Source organism: Homo sapiens, chromosome 9, assembly GCF_000001405.40.
Source record: "Homo sapiens chromosome 9, GRCh38.p14 Primary Assembly".
In the NCBI taxonomy this organism is placed as follows: Eukaryota; Metazoa; Chordata; class Mammalia; order Primates; family Hominidae; genus Homo; species Homo sapiens.
In genome coordinates, this window is record NC_000009.12 from 115,174,340 (window position 1) to 115,189,831 (window position 15,492).

Sequence of the window (15,492 nt, forward strand, 5' to 3'; positions counted from 1 at the left end):
AATTTATAAAATTTTGAATGTTTTTATGGTTTGAGCTTTGATGTCTGACTCAATAAATCCTTGCTTCTGACAGTCAAGAAGTTATTTTTCATTTATTTATCATTTATTTCATCTATTTATCATTTTATAAGTTTTAAAGTTTTACTTTTTGTATTGTGATCCTCAGTGTATCTGGAATTTATTTTGATCTAAGGCAGTCTTCTAATTTTGTTTTGTTTCCATATGGAAACCCAATTGCCTTTGTACCAATTATTGAATAGTCTAACATTTCTCTATTTTTTTATAGCAGCATCTCTGATAATGCCAATTTTTTCATTCATGTCCCTGTGAAGAGACCACCAAACAGGCTTTGTGTGAGCAATAAAGCTGTTTATTTCACCTGGGTGCAGGTGGCCTGAGTCTGAAAAGAGAGTCAGTGAAGGGAAATAAGGGTGGGGCCGTTTTATAGGATTTGGGTAGATAAAGGAAAATTACAGTCAAAGGGGGGTTGTTCTCTGGTGGGCAGAGTGGGGGTCACAAGGTGCTCAGTAGGGGAGCTTTTGAGCCAGGATGAGCCAGGAGAAGGAATTTCACAAGACAATGTCATCAGTTAAGGCAGGAACAGGCCATTTTCACTTCTTTTGTGGTAGAATGTCATCAGTTAAGGCAGGAACCAGCCATCTGGATGTGTACATGAAGGTCACAGGGGATATGATGGCTTAGCTTGGGCTCAGAGGCCTGACATTCCTGTCTTCTTATATTAATAAGACAAATAAAATGAAATAGTGGTAAAGTGTTGAGATGGTGAAAATTTTTGGGGGTGGTATGGAGAGATAATGGGCGATGTTTCTCAGGGCTGCTTCGAGCGGGATTAGGGGCGGCGCGGGAACCTAGAGTGGGAGAGATTCAGCTGAAGGAAGATTTTGTGGTAAGGGGTGATATTGTGGGGTTGTTAGAAGAAACATTTGTCCTGTAGAATTATTGGTGATGGCCTGGATATGGTTTTGTATGAATTGAAAAACTAAATGGAATAAGAGAAGGAGAAAAACAGGTATAAAAGGTCTAAGAATTGGGAGGACCTAGGACATCTGATTAGAGAGTGCTTAAGGAGATTCAGCATAGTCCTGCCAGCAAAGATTATTTATTTACTTCAAGAGTTTAGAGTGGCAGTTTGGGGATAGCACTAGGAGATATCAGCTGTGATGGCTTGGAGAAACAGTGTAAACTGGCAGTGTAAACAAGAGCAGGGCATGTATGAGTAGTTGAGAACAGTGAATAGGAATGACTAGACAGAAGATAGTAGGGATGACAAGTTTTTTGGGGCACAGTCCAAGTTGGTCTGGTGTCTGGAATGAGACTGGGGCCTAATAAAAATGAGCGTCTATACAGGAGCTTAAATGGGATGTACCTTGTAGCATTCTGAGGACAGGCCTGAATTCTGAGAAGGGAAAGTGGTAAAAGTATTATCTAGTCCTTTTTAAGTTGGTGGCTGAGCTTGGTGAGGTGTGTTTTAAAAGACTATTAGTCCGTTCTACTTTTCCTGAAGACTGAGGACTGTAAGGGATATAAAGGTTTCACTGGATATTAAGAGCCTGAAAAAATGCTTGGCTGATTTGACTAACAAAGGCCAGTCTTCTATCGGACTGTGTAGAAGTGGGAAGGCCAAACTGAGGAATTATGTCTGACAGCAGGGAAGAAATGACCGTGGTGGCCTTCTTACACCTTGTGGGAAAGGCCTCTACCTATCTAGTGAAAGTGTGTACCTAGACCAAGAGGTATTTTAGTTTCCTGACTCAGGGCATGTTGAGTAAAGTCAATTTGCTAGTCCTGGGCAGGGGCAAACCCTTGAGTTTGATGTGTAGGGAAGGGAGGGGGCCTGAATAATCCTTGAGAAGTAGTAGAATAGCAGATGGAGCACTGAGAAGTTATTTCTTTGAGGATAGATTTCCACGATGGAAAGGAAATCAGAGGTTCTAAGAGGCGGGCTAGTGGCTTGTACTATAGCATAGCCTGCCTTTGCTGGTGTGTGGTGATTAGGCCTGGTGGAACTGCCATCAATAAACTAAGTGTGATCAGGGTGAGGCACAGGAAAGAAGGAAATATGGGGAAATGGGGTGAATGTCAGGTGGATCAGAGGGATACAGTCATGGGGGTCAGGTGTGGTATCAGGTATAATGTGGGAGGCCAGATTGAAGTCCGGGCCAGGAACAATGATAATTGTGGGACTTAACAAAGAGTGAGTACAGCTGAAGGATCCGGGGAGCAGAAAGTATATGCATCAGCTATGAGGAAGAAAATAGATTTTGGAAGTTATGAGAAATGTAGAGAGTGAGTTGAGCATAGTTTGTGATTTTGAGGGCCTCTAAAAGTATTAGGGCAGCAGCAGCCGCTGCACGGAGACATGATGGCTAGGCTAAAACAGTAAGGTCAAGTTGTTTGGACAGAAAGGCTACAGGGTGCGGTCCTGGCTCTTGTGTAAGAATTCTGACCGCACTAACCATGCCTAGGAAGGAAAGGAGTTGTTGTTTTATAAGGGATTGAGGTTTGGGAGATTAATTGGCACAATCAGCAGGGAGAGCACGTGTGTTTTTATGAGAATTATGCCGAGATAGGTAACAGATGAGGATGAAATTTGGGCTTGACTGAAGTAATGGGGGCTGTCTGTGAAGCCTTGTGGCAGTACAGCCCAGGTAATTTGCTGAGCCTAATGGGTGTCAGGGTCAGCCTAAGTGAAAGCAAAGAGAGGCTGGGATGAAGGGTGCAAAGGAATAGTAAAGAAAGCATGTTTGAGATCTAGAACAGAATAATGGGTTGTAGAGGGAGGTATTGAGGATAAGAGAGTATATGGGTTTGGCACCATGGGGTGGATAGGCAAAACAATTTGGTTGATAAGGCACAGATTCTGAACTAACCTGTAAGCCTTGTCTGGTTTTAGGACAGGTAAAATGGGGGAATGGCAAGAAGAGTTTATAGGCTTTAAAAGGCCATGCTGTAACAGGTAAGTGATAACAGGCTTTAATCTTTTCAAAGCATGCTGTGGGATGGGATATTGGGATTGAGCGGGGTAAGAGTGATTAGGTTTTAATGGGATGGTAAGGGGTGCATGATCGGTCACTAAGGAGGGAGTAGAGGTGTCTTATACTTGTGGGTTAAGGTGGGGAGATATAAGGGGAGGATGTGAAGGAGGCTTTGAACTGGGAGAAAAGGCAGCAATGAGGTGTGGCTGTAGCCTAGGAATAGTCAGGGAAGCAGATAATTTAGTTAAAGTGTCTCGGCCTAATAAGGGAACTGGGCAGGTGGGGATAACTAAAAAGGAGTGCTTAAAAGAGTATTGTCTAAGTTGGCACTAGATTTGGGGAGTTTTAAGAGGTTTAGAAGCCTGGCTGTCAATACGCACAACAGTTATGGAAGCAAGGGAAACAGGCCTTTGAAAATAAGGTAATGTGGAGTGAGTAGCTTCCGTATTGATTAAGAAGGGGACGGACTTACCTTCTACTGTGAGAGTTACTTAGAGCATCTGTGATGGTCCTGTAGGCTTCTGAGGCGATCAGGCAGTGTCAGTCTTCAGCTGCTAAGCTGAGAAGATCTGGGAAGGAGTCAGTCAGAGAGCCTTGGGCCACAGTTCCAGGGGCTCTGGAAGTGGCTGCCAGGTGAGTTGAACAGTCTAATTTTCAGTGGGGTCCTGCACAGATGGGACATGGCTTAGGAGGAATCTTGGGCTGTGGGCCTTCCTTGGCCTAGTGGCTAGATTTCCGGCACTTGTAGCAAGCTCCTGGGGGAGGAGGTTCTGGAGGAACCCCTGGCAGCTGTGGTTCAGGTATTTGGAGTTCTTGTTGTGCTGGAGATGTGGCTGGGGTTTGTCTCACCGTGGAGGCAAATAATTGCAACTTAGAAATACGTTGCTACTTGGCTGCCTCTACTCTATTATTGTACACCTTGAAGGTGAGGTTAATTAAGTCCTGTTGTGGGGTTTGAGGGCCAGAATTTAATTTTTGGAGTTTTATTTAATGTCGGGAGCAGATTGGGTAATAAAATGTATATTGAGAATAAGACGGCCTTTTGACCTTTTAGGGTCTAGGGCTGTAAAGCGTCTCAGGGTTGCTGCCGAATAAGCCATGAACTGGGCTGGGTTTTTCATATTTGATGAAACAGCCTAAATGCTCACTGATTTGGGAGAGGTCTGATAAAGAAAAAGGAGCATTAACTTTGACTATGCCTTTAGCTTTAGCCACCTTTTTAAGAGGAAATTGCTGGGCAGGTAGGGGAGGGCTACTCACGGAATTAAACTGTAAACTGGACCGGGTGTGAGGAGAGGAGGTGATAAAAAGATTACAGGGTGGAGGACTGGAGGCTGGGGAAGAATTGGGACCTAGCTTGGCCTGGCGAGGAGCAGCCTGGGGAGGAGGGGAGAGGTCAGATGGGTCTGTAGAAAAGGAAGATTAGAAAGACTCAGCGACGCTTGGGGTTGGGACAGAGGGGACAGGCGGGAGGGAAAGAAGGAAGATTTGGGATGAGTTGCACTGGGCACAGAGACTAGGAAGGGACTGATGTGTAAAAGAATGCCTGGACGTCAGGCACCTCAGACCGTTTGCCTATTTTACCACAAGAATTCTTTAGATCTTGCAGGATGGAAAAATTGAAAGTGCCGTTTTCTGGCTATTTGGAACTACTGTGAGTTTGTATTGGGGTCAAGCAGCATTGCAGAAGAAAATAAGACGCTTAGATTTTAGGTCAGGTGAGAGCTGAATAGGTTTTAAGTTCTTAAGAACACAGGCTAAGGGAGAAGGAGGAGGAATGGAGGGTGGAAGTTTGCCTATAGTGAAGGAGGCAAGCCTAGAAAAAAGAGAGAGTAGAGACACAGAGGGAAGGGGTTTGGGAGTTCTTACCTTCCAGAAAAGCAGAAAAGGGGTCAAGGCACAGAAATAAGGGGTTGGGGCACGGAGATAAGAGGTCGGGGTGTGGAAATAAGGGATGGGGGCACAGAGATAAGAGGTCGGGGTACTTGCCCCTCCTTTAGAAAAGCGGGACTTGCCGCTAAGGGTGAAAGAGAAGGGGTTGAGGGGTTCTTGCCTCTCCTTCAGAAAAGCAGAGAAGGGGTAGAGACACGGAGAGAAGGGGTTGGGGTACTTGCCCCTCCCCAAGAAAAGCAGGACTTGCTGCTAAGGGTGAAGGACCAAGGCAGGCATCCTTGCATGGTATGACACCTCTGAAACATGAGTGAATAATCAGAGGTGTCCCTGCAATGATTAAACACCAAGGGAAGGCTGCCTTCCCAGTCTGTGACAGGCGCTGGAGTTTTGGGTCCACGGATAAAATGTCTCCTTTGTCTCTACCAGAAAATGAAAGGAATTGAAATTAAGAGAAGGGAGAGGTTGAAGTGTGGCGCCAAGATTGAAAGGAGAACGAGGTTGAGGGATAGTGAGGGAGGTTGAAGAAGAGAGTAAAAATAGGCTGCTTACTGGATTTGAAATTGGTGAGATGTTTCTTGGGCTGGTCGGTCTGAGGACCTGAGGTCATAGGTGGACCTTTCTCATGGAGCAAAGAGCAGGAGGACAGGGGATTGATCTCCCAAGGGAGGTACCCTGATCCGAGTCATGGCACCAAATTTCACTTGCATCCATGGAAGAGACCACCAAACAGGCTTTGTGTGAGCAATAAAGCTGTTTATTTCACCTGGGTGCAGCTGGGCTGAGTCCGAAAAGAGGGTCAGCCAAGGGAGATAAGGGTGGGGACGTTTTATAGGATTTGGGTAAATAAAGGAAAATTACAGTCAAAGCGGGGTTGTTCTCTGGTGGCCAGAGTGGGGGTCACAAGATACTCAGTAGGGGAGCTTTCCAGCCAGGATGAGCCAGGAGAAGGAATTTCACAAGACAATGTCATCAGTTAAGGCAGGAACAGGCCATTTTCACTTCTTTTGTGGTGGAATGTCATCATTTAAGGCAGGAACCAACCATCTGGATGTGTACATGAAAGTCACAGTGGATATGATGGCTTAGCTTGGGCTCAGAGGCCTGACAAATTTTCCATGGATTTGTTTCAAGGTGCTTGACTGTATTGTATTGATCTGTTTGTCTCTTCTTTATATAAATAACATTGTGTTACATACAGTGTTAGAATAACGCTTGTATGTGGTCTTGTATGCTTTATTCCCTTCCTTCAAAGCTTTATTTCTTTATTCTTTCTTATGAAGAGTATAAATACTGGCTGGTCCATTTTAATGAAAACCTTATTATAATTAACTAAAATTGCAACAAATATGTAGATTATTTTGGTGGCAGAACAGGAACCTCTTTAATAATAAGTCTTCTGTTCCATAAATGTTTATTCAGGCTTTCTTCTATGTCTTTAAAGAGATTCTTAAAATTTTCTTCTAAAAGTTTATTTATTTTTTTGCTAGAATTATTCATAGGAGCCTGAAGTTTTTCTTGCTATTGTAAAAGTATCTTCAATTTCCATTACACTTTATAATTGGTATGGCTGAATTCTAGAATGAAAATAAATTTGCGTTGATCTAATAACTTGCTGAATTCTGTTATCTTTTGTAATATTTTATCCGTATTTTTTTAAGAGTTTCTAATCATATTGTTTGCAAGTGAATGTCATTGTATCTCTTTTTATCTATTTAAAAAATATTGTGTTTATTTTTCTTATTGCATTGGCCAGGGCTTATGTACAATTTTGAATGGTAGGAGTGATAGCGGGCATTTTTGGCTTTTTCCAGATTTTCAAGGGAATGTTTCTAATGTTCCATCATTATAGAGGCCACATAGCACACTGGTTAAAAATGCAAGATCAAGGAGGTTTGAATTTAGGCTCTGTCAGTTAAAAGTTGTGTGATTTGGGCCAGATAACTTAACCCCTCTGTGTTCGTGTTTTTCCATTAGTGAAATGAAAATAAACAAAAGCAACAACAACAATAATATTTATATCAGAAGAATGTTGTGAGGATTAAACATATATGTGTGTATATATACACATACATATATTAATATATGTATGTATGTATGCATATATATTTGTGTACTTAGAACAGTGCCTAGTACAAATTTAATGCTCAATAAGTATTTAATAATGATAAAAAGTGATATTTACTGAATACTTTTTATAAAGATTCCTTATATGTTTGAGGAAATTTCTTCATATTCCTACTTTTCCTAAAGTTGTCTTTATAGTTGAGAGTTAAATTGTATCAAATGCTTCTTCTTCACCTAATAAGATAAATGATATGCTTTTTTGTTAGTGTTCTAAAATGGTGGTTAATTTTAACAGATTTTCTGCCACTGAACTATATTTGCATTCTTGGGCTATCATTCATTGTTACTGTTGATGTTATTGGTACACTATATATTTGAAATTATTATTTTGCTTTCCATTTATAAGTGAGATTGGGCTTTTTTTTATTTTTGTACTGCCTTTTTACATTTTGAACAAGAAAAGGATTGTTTGTTCTTTGGTGATTAGTAAAATGTGACTGTATGAATTTATCTGGGTATTGTTTCTTTTTGGTATGAAAACTGCTTATCAATTAAAATTATCTGATATCTAATTTTGTGTAGGATTTTTGTTTGTATTGATGTCAATATTGATTGTTTCTATGGTTTCCATAAAGTATTTTATTTATGCTACATTTTCAAGTTTGCATATTTGGAAAAGCTATGAAATCTACAAATTGAAAAATCTACAAAAAATAGCATGAAAGTTGGTTTAATTTATAATGATTTAAAAAATTCTCTACTATAGCCCTAATTGTGGTCCCACTTTGTTACTATAGTTTAATTTGTGATCTCTTTTTTTTTTTGTTTTTGTTTAATAATCTCTTTTGCTTCTTTGTTTTCTTGTACATTAATATCAGTTGTTTACCTGTTTCTGTCAGAGGCATTTGAACCAGAACGACTCCATCTTGAGTAGGGGCTGGTAAAATAAGGCTGAGATCTGCTGAGCTGCATTCCCAGTAAATTAGGCATTCAAAGTCACAGGATGTGTTAGGAAGTCTGCACAAGATACTGGTCATAAAGACTTTGCTGGTAAAACAGTTTGCAGTAAAGAAGCCGGCCAAAATTACCAAAACCAAGATGGTGAGAGTGACCTCTGGTTGTTGTTATGGCTCATTGTAAGCTAATTGTAATGCACTAGCATGGTAGAAGGCACTCTCAGGAGCAGCATGACAGTTTTCAAATGCCATGGCAATGTCAGGAAGCTACCCTATAAGGTCTGAAAAGGGAAGGAGCCCTCAGCTCCTAGAATTCCCCAGCTCTTTCCAGGAAAACTCATGAATAATAACCCTTGTTAAGCATATAATCAAGAAATAACCATAAAAATGGGCAACCAGTGGCTGATGCCACTGCTCTGCCTGTGGAGTAACCATTCTTTTATTTCTTTACTTTCTCAATACATTTGCTTTCACTTTATGGACTTACCTTGAATTCTTTCTTGAGCAAGATCCAGGAACCCTCTTTCGGGGTCTGGATCGGGATCCCTTTCCAGTAACATTTCCCATTCTTTTAATTTTTATTGTTTTATTACCTTTACTTTCTTGAGTTGAATGCTGAACTTATTTTCAATCTTGCTTTTTTTTAAAAAAAAAACTAATAAATGTTTTTTAAGGAATACATTTTCTCCTGTTGACAAAAAGCATCAAACTCCGTAAAATATTTGAAGAGATTTATTCTGAACCAAATATGTGTGACCAATGGCCAGTGATATAGCCCTCAGGAGATCCTGAGAACATGTGCCCAAAATGATGGGCTACAGCTTGGTTTTATACATTTTAGGGTGACAGGAGACATCAATTAATACATGTGAGGTGTACGCTGGTTTGGTCCAGAAAGGTCCAGACAACCGGAAGTGGAGGCTTCCAAGTCCTAGGCAGATTCAAAGATATTCTGATTGGCAATTGACTGAAAGGGTTATTATCAATAGGAAGGAAAGTCTGTGTTGTGGTAATAAGGGGTTGTGGAGACCAAGGTTTTATCAGACAGATGAAGCCTCCAGGTAGCAGCCTTCAGAGAGAATAGATTGTAAATGTTGCTTGTCAGACTTAAAGAGTCTGCTCTATCAGTAATTCCAAAAGGGAGGAGGGTATAATGAGGCGTGTCTGGCTCCCCTTTCCCATTATGAATTGAAACTAGTTTTTCAGGCTAACTTTAGAATGTCCTTGGCCCAGAAGGGTCCATTTAGATGGTTGGGGAGGTGGGGTGGGCCTTAGAATTGTAAACCAAAAATAAAATTCTAAGGCCCCTCCCAACCAACTAAATGGACTTCCTTTTTAGTCAGGGTTCTTAAAATTTAACCTGAAAGACTGGTTTAGGCCATGAAAGGAAGTGGGGGTCAGACATGCCTCATTAATACCTCTCTGGCATTAACAACAACACAGACTTCAAGTCTGATAAGAAACATTTTACAGCCTGTTCTCTCTGAAGCCTGCTAGCTAAAAGCTTCATCTGCATGATAAAATTTTGGTCTCCACAACCTCTTATTGCAACCCAAACATTTCTTTCTATTAATCCCAGGTCTTAAGACAAACTCAACCAATTGTCAACTGTCAGCCAGAAAATGTTTAAATTTACCTATAGCTTGGAACCTACCCCCCTCCCCAACAGCCCCCTGCTTTGAGTTAACCAAACCAAATATTTCTTAAATGTGCTTGATTGATGTCTCATGACTCCCTAAAATGTATAAAACCAAGCTGCACCCCAACCACCTTGGGCACATGTTGTCAGGACTTCCTGAGGCTGTGTCACAGGTGTGCATTGCATCCTTAACCTTGGCAAAATAAACTTTCTAAATAAACTGGGACCTGTCTTACATGTTCTGGGTCTAGAGATTTTTATTTTTGGTTTACACTGGGTCTACAGAATTTTATTTTTAGTTTACACTTCTAATAAACTTTAGAAGTTTTTTTGGCAACTCAGAACTTTTGATATTTAGGAGTTTACTTTTACTTTTCCAAATATATATTTTAAAATCTATATCTTTTATTGTTGATTTTGCATTTAACTGTTTGTAGTTCAGAAGGACGTTGGCATAATTTCCTATTGTAACGAGTGGCAATAAAAGCAACATAAAGGAATTATGTTCTCTAAATATATCATGTGATGTATAATAAATAGTATATTAAAAACCCATAATTAAATCCAATTTCTCTGGTCTTCTCATGTCACATTAGTCACGTTTACAAAGGCAAAATCTTAAAGTATTAGCATTTGCTTGCCCTTTGGTGTTCTTAAACAGCAGAGCCCCCAAACAAAAGCCTATCCAGTGAAGACTCTTATTTTGCTAAACATCCAAGCACTTCATTTTCTGAGTGAGAGATGATTTATCCGCTCCACAACATCAGTCATTTGAACCTCAGTGCACAGTGTGTGAACCAGTGGCACTTTTAAAGAATAACTTTGAAGAATAACACACATGCAAAAAAGTGCACAGATATGTCTATAGCTCAAAGAATTTTCTGGAAGTAAGCACACTATGTGGCCTGCTTACAAATGAAGAAACAGAATATAAACAGCCCTCTCATGCTTCTTCCAGTGATAACTCCACCATCACCTGGGGTAACCTCTACCTTGAGTTATAGCAACACATATGCACTCTTCCTGTTATTGAACTAGATGCTCTTTTGTGTCTGTCTTCTTTGGCTCATCATTATGTTTATGGAATTCACCAATATTATTGCATTGTTATGTAGTATTGCCTTGTAAGAATATACCACAATTTATCCATTCTCCCTTTGGTGGACAGTGGACCAGGTTTCCAGTTTTGGGTTATTATGGATAATGCTACTACAAATATTGTTGTTATATTTTTGGATGAATATGTGTATGCGTTTTTGGGGGGTTGTATACATCTATAAGTGGAATTGCTGGGTCATGGGATATGCATATGTATGTTTAATTTTAGTAGATATGTGCAAAAAGTATTCCAAAGTGGTTAAATTGATACAATTTATTGAAAGTTCTGGTTGTTCTGTGTCTTTGTCAACACTTTGTATTTTCTGTCTTCAGTTTTATTCTGTACTTCAGTAGGTATGCAGTGATATTGCATTGGTATTTGATATTGGAAGTTACCTAATGACTGATGAGGTTGAGCATTCTTTCCTGTGCTATTGATCATTTGTGACTCAGTGTTTTGAAGAAATTTTTAGTCTTTTCTTCATTTTTCTATTGTGGGTGTCACTGACTCAGGCCAGTGTGTTGGATGGTAAAAGAATGTACCAAGACACTTGTGGGGAAAGAAAGGCAGATTTATTAAAGAAAATACAAAGATATATTGCAAGGTGCAATGGGCAGCACAGCAGAGAAGGGGCTGTCTGCAAAGATGTAGGCACTGCGGGGAAGTTTTATAGGGCCATAGTGGAAGGGGCTATGTGTGGAACGAGATAATTGGGAAGAGGATGTTGTGCCAAGGAGTTGTCTGTGATTAGCCATCTCTCAGAAAAATGATTCTCCCCCACCCTGGGAGCCCTTTTTCATTGTTGCTGACTTACCAGGACTCCATATTTTCTATGGGTTTATCATTTCTTCTTGATGTGTATAAATCTTTTACATATTTTTTTGATACATATCTTCTGTCAGATACAAGTATTGTAAATTTTTCATCCTAAATCTCGTTTTCAGTTTTTAATTTTTTTAGTAAACAGATGCTCTTAAACATAATATAGTCTAATTTATCATATTATTATTATTTTATAGCTGTTATTTTTAATGTCATCTTTAAGATGTTTTTGCCTACTGCAGGTTACTGAATATGTTGTCTTTTGTCCTACAAATTTTATCATTTTGCAGGTACAAAATATGTTTATCTTAATCTAACTGGAATTGATACTTGTGTATGGTGTCTTATGGGGTCAAGATCTATTTTTTTTCTCTGTATTTTATTTTACTTTTGCCATGTGGATATTTAGTTGTCACAGCACCATTTATTAATAAGGCATTCTTTCTTTTTCTGCACTATCATCTCACCTAATTTTACCACCAATCTGGTAACCACTATTCTACTTACTATTAGGTTGGTGCAAGTGTAATTACTTCTAATGGCAAAAACATACAGTAGGCAAAAATATCTTAAAGATAACATTAAAAGTAACAACTACAACAATTATAACATTAAAAGTAATGACAAAAACTGCAATTACATTTGCACCAACCTAATACCTCCATGAGATCAATTTTTTTTAGCTTCCATATGTGAGTGAGAACATGCCATATTTGTCTTTCTGTGCCTGGCTTACTTATTTTACTTAACATAATATCCTCCAGTTCCATCCATGTTGCTGCAAATGGCAGGATTTTATTCTTTTTATGGCTGAATAATATTCCATTGCGCATATATATATATATATATATATATATATATATCACATTTTCTTTATCCCTTCATTCTGTTTCTGTATGTATTTTTTATTTTTTAATTTTTGTGGGTAAATAGTAGGTATATATATTTATGGGGTGCTTGAAACATTTTGATATAGGCATGAAATGTGAAATAAGCACAGCATGGAGAATGAGGTATCTGTCTCCTCAAGGATTTATCCTTTGAATTACAAACAAACCAATTATACTCTTTAAGTTATTTAAAAATATATGGTTAAGTTATTATTGACTATAGTTATCCTATTGTGTTATTAAAAAATGTCTTATACATTCTTCTATTTTATTTTTGCACACATTAACCATCCCCACCTCCCCCACTGTACTTCTTAATGCTTCTTTTTATTTTTTTTTTAAATTTTGAGACAGAGTTTCCCTCTTGTCACTCAGGCTGGAGTGCAATGGTGCGATCTCAGCTCACTGCAGCTTCTGCTTCCTGGGTTCAAGTGATTCCCCTGCCTCCACCTCCTGAGTGGCTGGGATTACAAGTGCATACCACCACGCCCGGCTAATTTTTTTTTTTAAGTAAAGATGGGGTTTTGCCATGTTGGCCAGGCTGGTCTTGAACTCCAGACCTCGGGCAATCCACCTCCTTGGCCTCCCACACTGCTGGGATTATAGGTGTGAGCCACTGCGCCTGGCCAATGTTTCATTTTTAAAATTATCTTAATTACTATGGCTTTAGAATAGATTATGTAAATGCTCTTTTTCAAACAGAAAGTATCCGTATGTATTTCAGAATAAGCGGAAGCATTACATTTGAATCACATTTTCTTTATGCAAGTGAGAGAATTATTGGAATGCTTAGGCAGTGTTATAACCTGGGAACAAGAAACTAGTTTAAAGTAATCAAATTGTCAGTGACTAAGAAGTCAAAAGTCAGTGAAAAACATGCACATGCACTAACGTGTTAGAAGTGCCCATTTTGAAAATCAAACGTGTGACTGACTATTCGATCATCAATATAAGATAATACTCAGTTGACGTTTTAAATATTTTATCTTTGCTTATGGAATTTTTTTTACTGAATTTTTAAAAACTCAGCCTCATCGATAACTTTCAATAACTATGTTTGATTCATTACACTTATTGTGTTTTATTGATGTATTTGGAAATTCTACTTTGGGGGCTGTGTGTGTGTTCTCCATCTTACAGATTTTAGAGAGATTGTCAAATTTTTTCATATCCCATTGTTCCCTAAAATGATTTAAAAGACCTCAATTGTAGTTTCATTTGTTTTAGGACACAGTCTTAGATTTTAACATACATACTTATCTATTATATTTGTTAATAAAGTCTTAGGTTAGTGGATATTTCTATACTCTTTCTGAAAATGACATGCATCTTACAACCAGTTGGACTTTTAAGATAGTCTAGGCCAGGTGTCAGTTGTGATACAGCAGTCATATCTCAAATAATGCCCAGTTTTTGAGTGCTTCTTTTTTTTTTTTTTTTTTTTTTTGAGATGAAGTCTTGTTCTGTTGCCCAGGCTGGAGTGCAGTGGCATGATCTCGGCTCACTGCAACCTCTGCCTCCCGGGTTCAAGCCGTTCTTTTGCCTCAGCTTCCCAAGTAGCTGGGACTTCAGGCACCTGCCACCACGACTGGCTAATTTTTTTTTTTTTTTGTATTTTTAGTGGAGACGGGGGTTTCACCATGTTGGCCAGGCTGGTATCGAACACTTGACCTTGTGATCTGCCAGCCTCAACCTCCCAAAGTGCTGGGATTACAGGCGTGAGCCACTGCACCTGGCCTTGAGTGCTCCTTATCTCCATAATCATGTTTCTGCTGGTTAGAATTTTAGAAAAGTAGTCTTTTTGTCTTTTCGGTTGAGTGATTTATCTACCAATTTTTATCATTTTATGTGCTCATTATTGTATTCTACATCTCAGTCACTACTTTTTTATTCTTCAGAATTTCTGAACTCTGCTATGTGTCTAAAATATGTTTTATGTTTTGTGTCCTTCAAAGTGCATGTGTTGGAAACTTAATCCCCAATGCAATCATACTGGGAGGTGGGGCTGATGGCAGGTGTTTAGGTCGTGAAGGCACCACTCTCATGAATGGATTAATGCTGATTGCTAAAGAGCTTGAGGCTACAAGTTCGATCTCTTGTTCTGTCTTGCCCTTCCACCTTTATCGTGGAATAATACAGCAAGAAGGCTCTTGCTAGGTGCTGACTTTTCAATCTTGGACTTCCAAACTTCCAGAACCATGGGCCAATAAGTTTATATTCGTTATAAATTACTCAGGCTGTGGGTGTTCTGTTATAGCAGCACAAAATGGACAAAGACAATGTCTAAGTGTGGGTTTAGTTTTCTTTTTTCTGATCACTAATTAATGTTCATTTTCTTTTTCTTTTTTTTTTGTTTTGTTCATTCAGAGTCTTGCTCTGTTGCCCAGGCTAGAGTGCAGTGGAAAGCTATCTCAGTTCACTGCAACCTGCGCCTCCTGGATTCAAGCGATTCTTGTATCTCAGACTCCCAAGTATCTGGGATTACAGGTGTGTGCCACCACACCCAGCTAATTTTCCCTATTTTTAGTAGAGACAGAGTTTTGCCATGTTGCTCAGGCTGGTCTTGAACTCCTGAGCTCAGGTGCTCCACCTGCCTCGGCCTCCCAAAATACTAGGATTACAGGTGTGAGCCACTGTACCCAGCCCAATGTTCATTTTCAATCAGGTGACCGCCATTCTACTCACTACTTTAATGAGATCATTTTTTTTAGCTCTCACATGTGAGTGAGAACATGTGATATTTGTCTTTCTGTGCCTGGATTACTTATTTCACTTAACATAAAGTCCTCCAGTTCCATCCATGTTGCTGCAAATGGCAGGATTTTATTCTTTTTATGGCTAAATAATATTCCATTGTGCATATATACCACATTTTCTTTATCCATTCATCCACTGATGGACACTTAGGTTATTTTCATTTCTTGGCTATTATGGATAGTGCTTCAATGAACATGGGAGTACAGATGTCTCTTTGATATACTGATTTTCTTTCTTTTCATATATACCCAGCAGTGGAATTGTTGGATTATGTGGTAGTTCTATTTTTAAGTTTTTGAGGAACCTCTAAACTGTTTTTTTTTACCCTAATTTACATTTCCACCATCGGCGTTTGAGCATTCCTATTTCTCTACAT

At 39.2% G+C, this 15,492-nt stretch overlaps 1 long non-coding RNA gene across 1 annotated transcript in view, besides 1 other annotated feature; it reads left to right on the forward strand.

The window, feature by feature from the left end:
• The window catches only part of DELEC1 (deleted in esophageal cancer 1), a 260,827-nt gene that overhangs the window by 32,522 nt on the left and 212,813 nt on the right, over window positions 1-15,492 (forward strand). The window lies entirely within an intron of this gene.
• Window positions 7,880-8,425: an enhancer, noted in NCBI's record as "OCT4-NANOG hESC enhancer chr9:117944498-117945043 (GRCh37/hg19 assembly coordinates)". NCBI's record gives its function as "activates a minimal SCP1, AML or CMV promoter by ChIP-STARR-seq in primed H9 embryonic stem cells {active_cell/tissue: H9 hESC(primed)}" and the evidence as "EXISTENCE:reporter gene assay evidence [ECO:0000049][PMID:30033119]".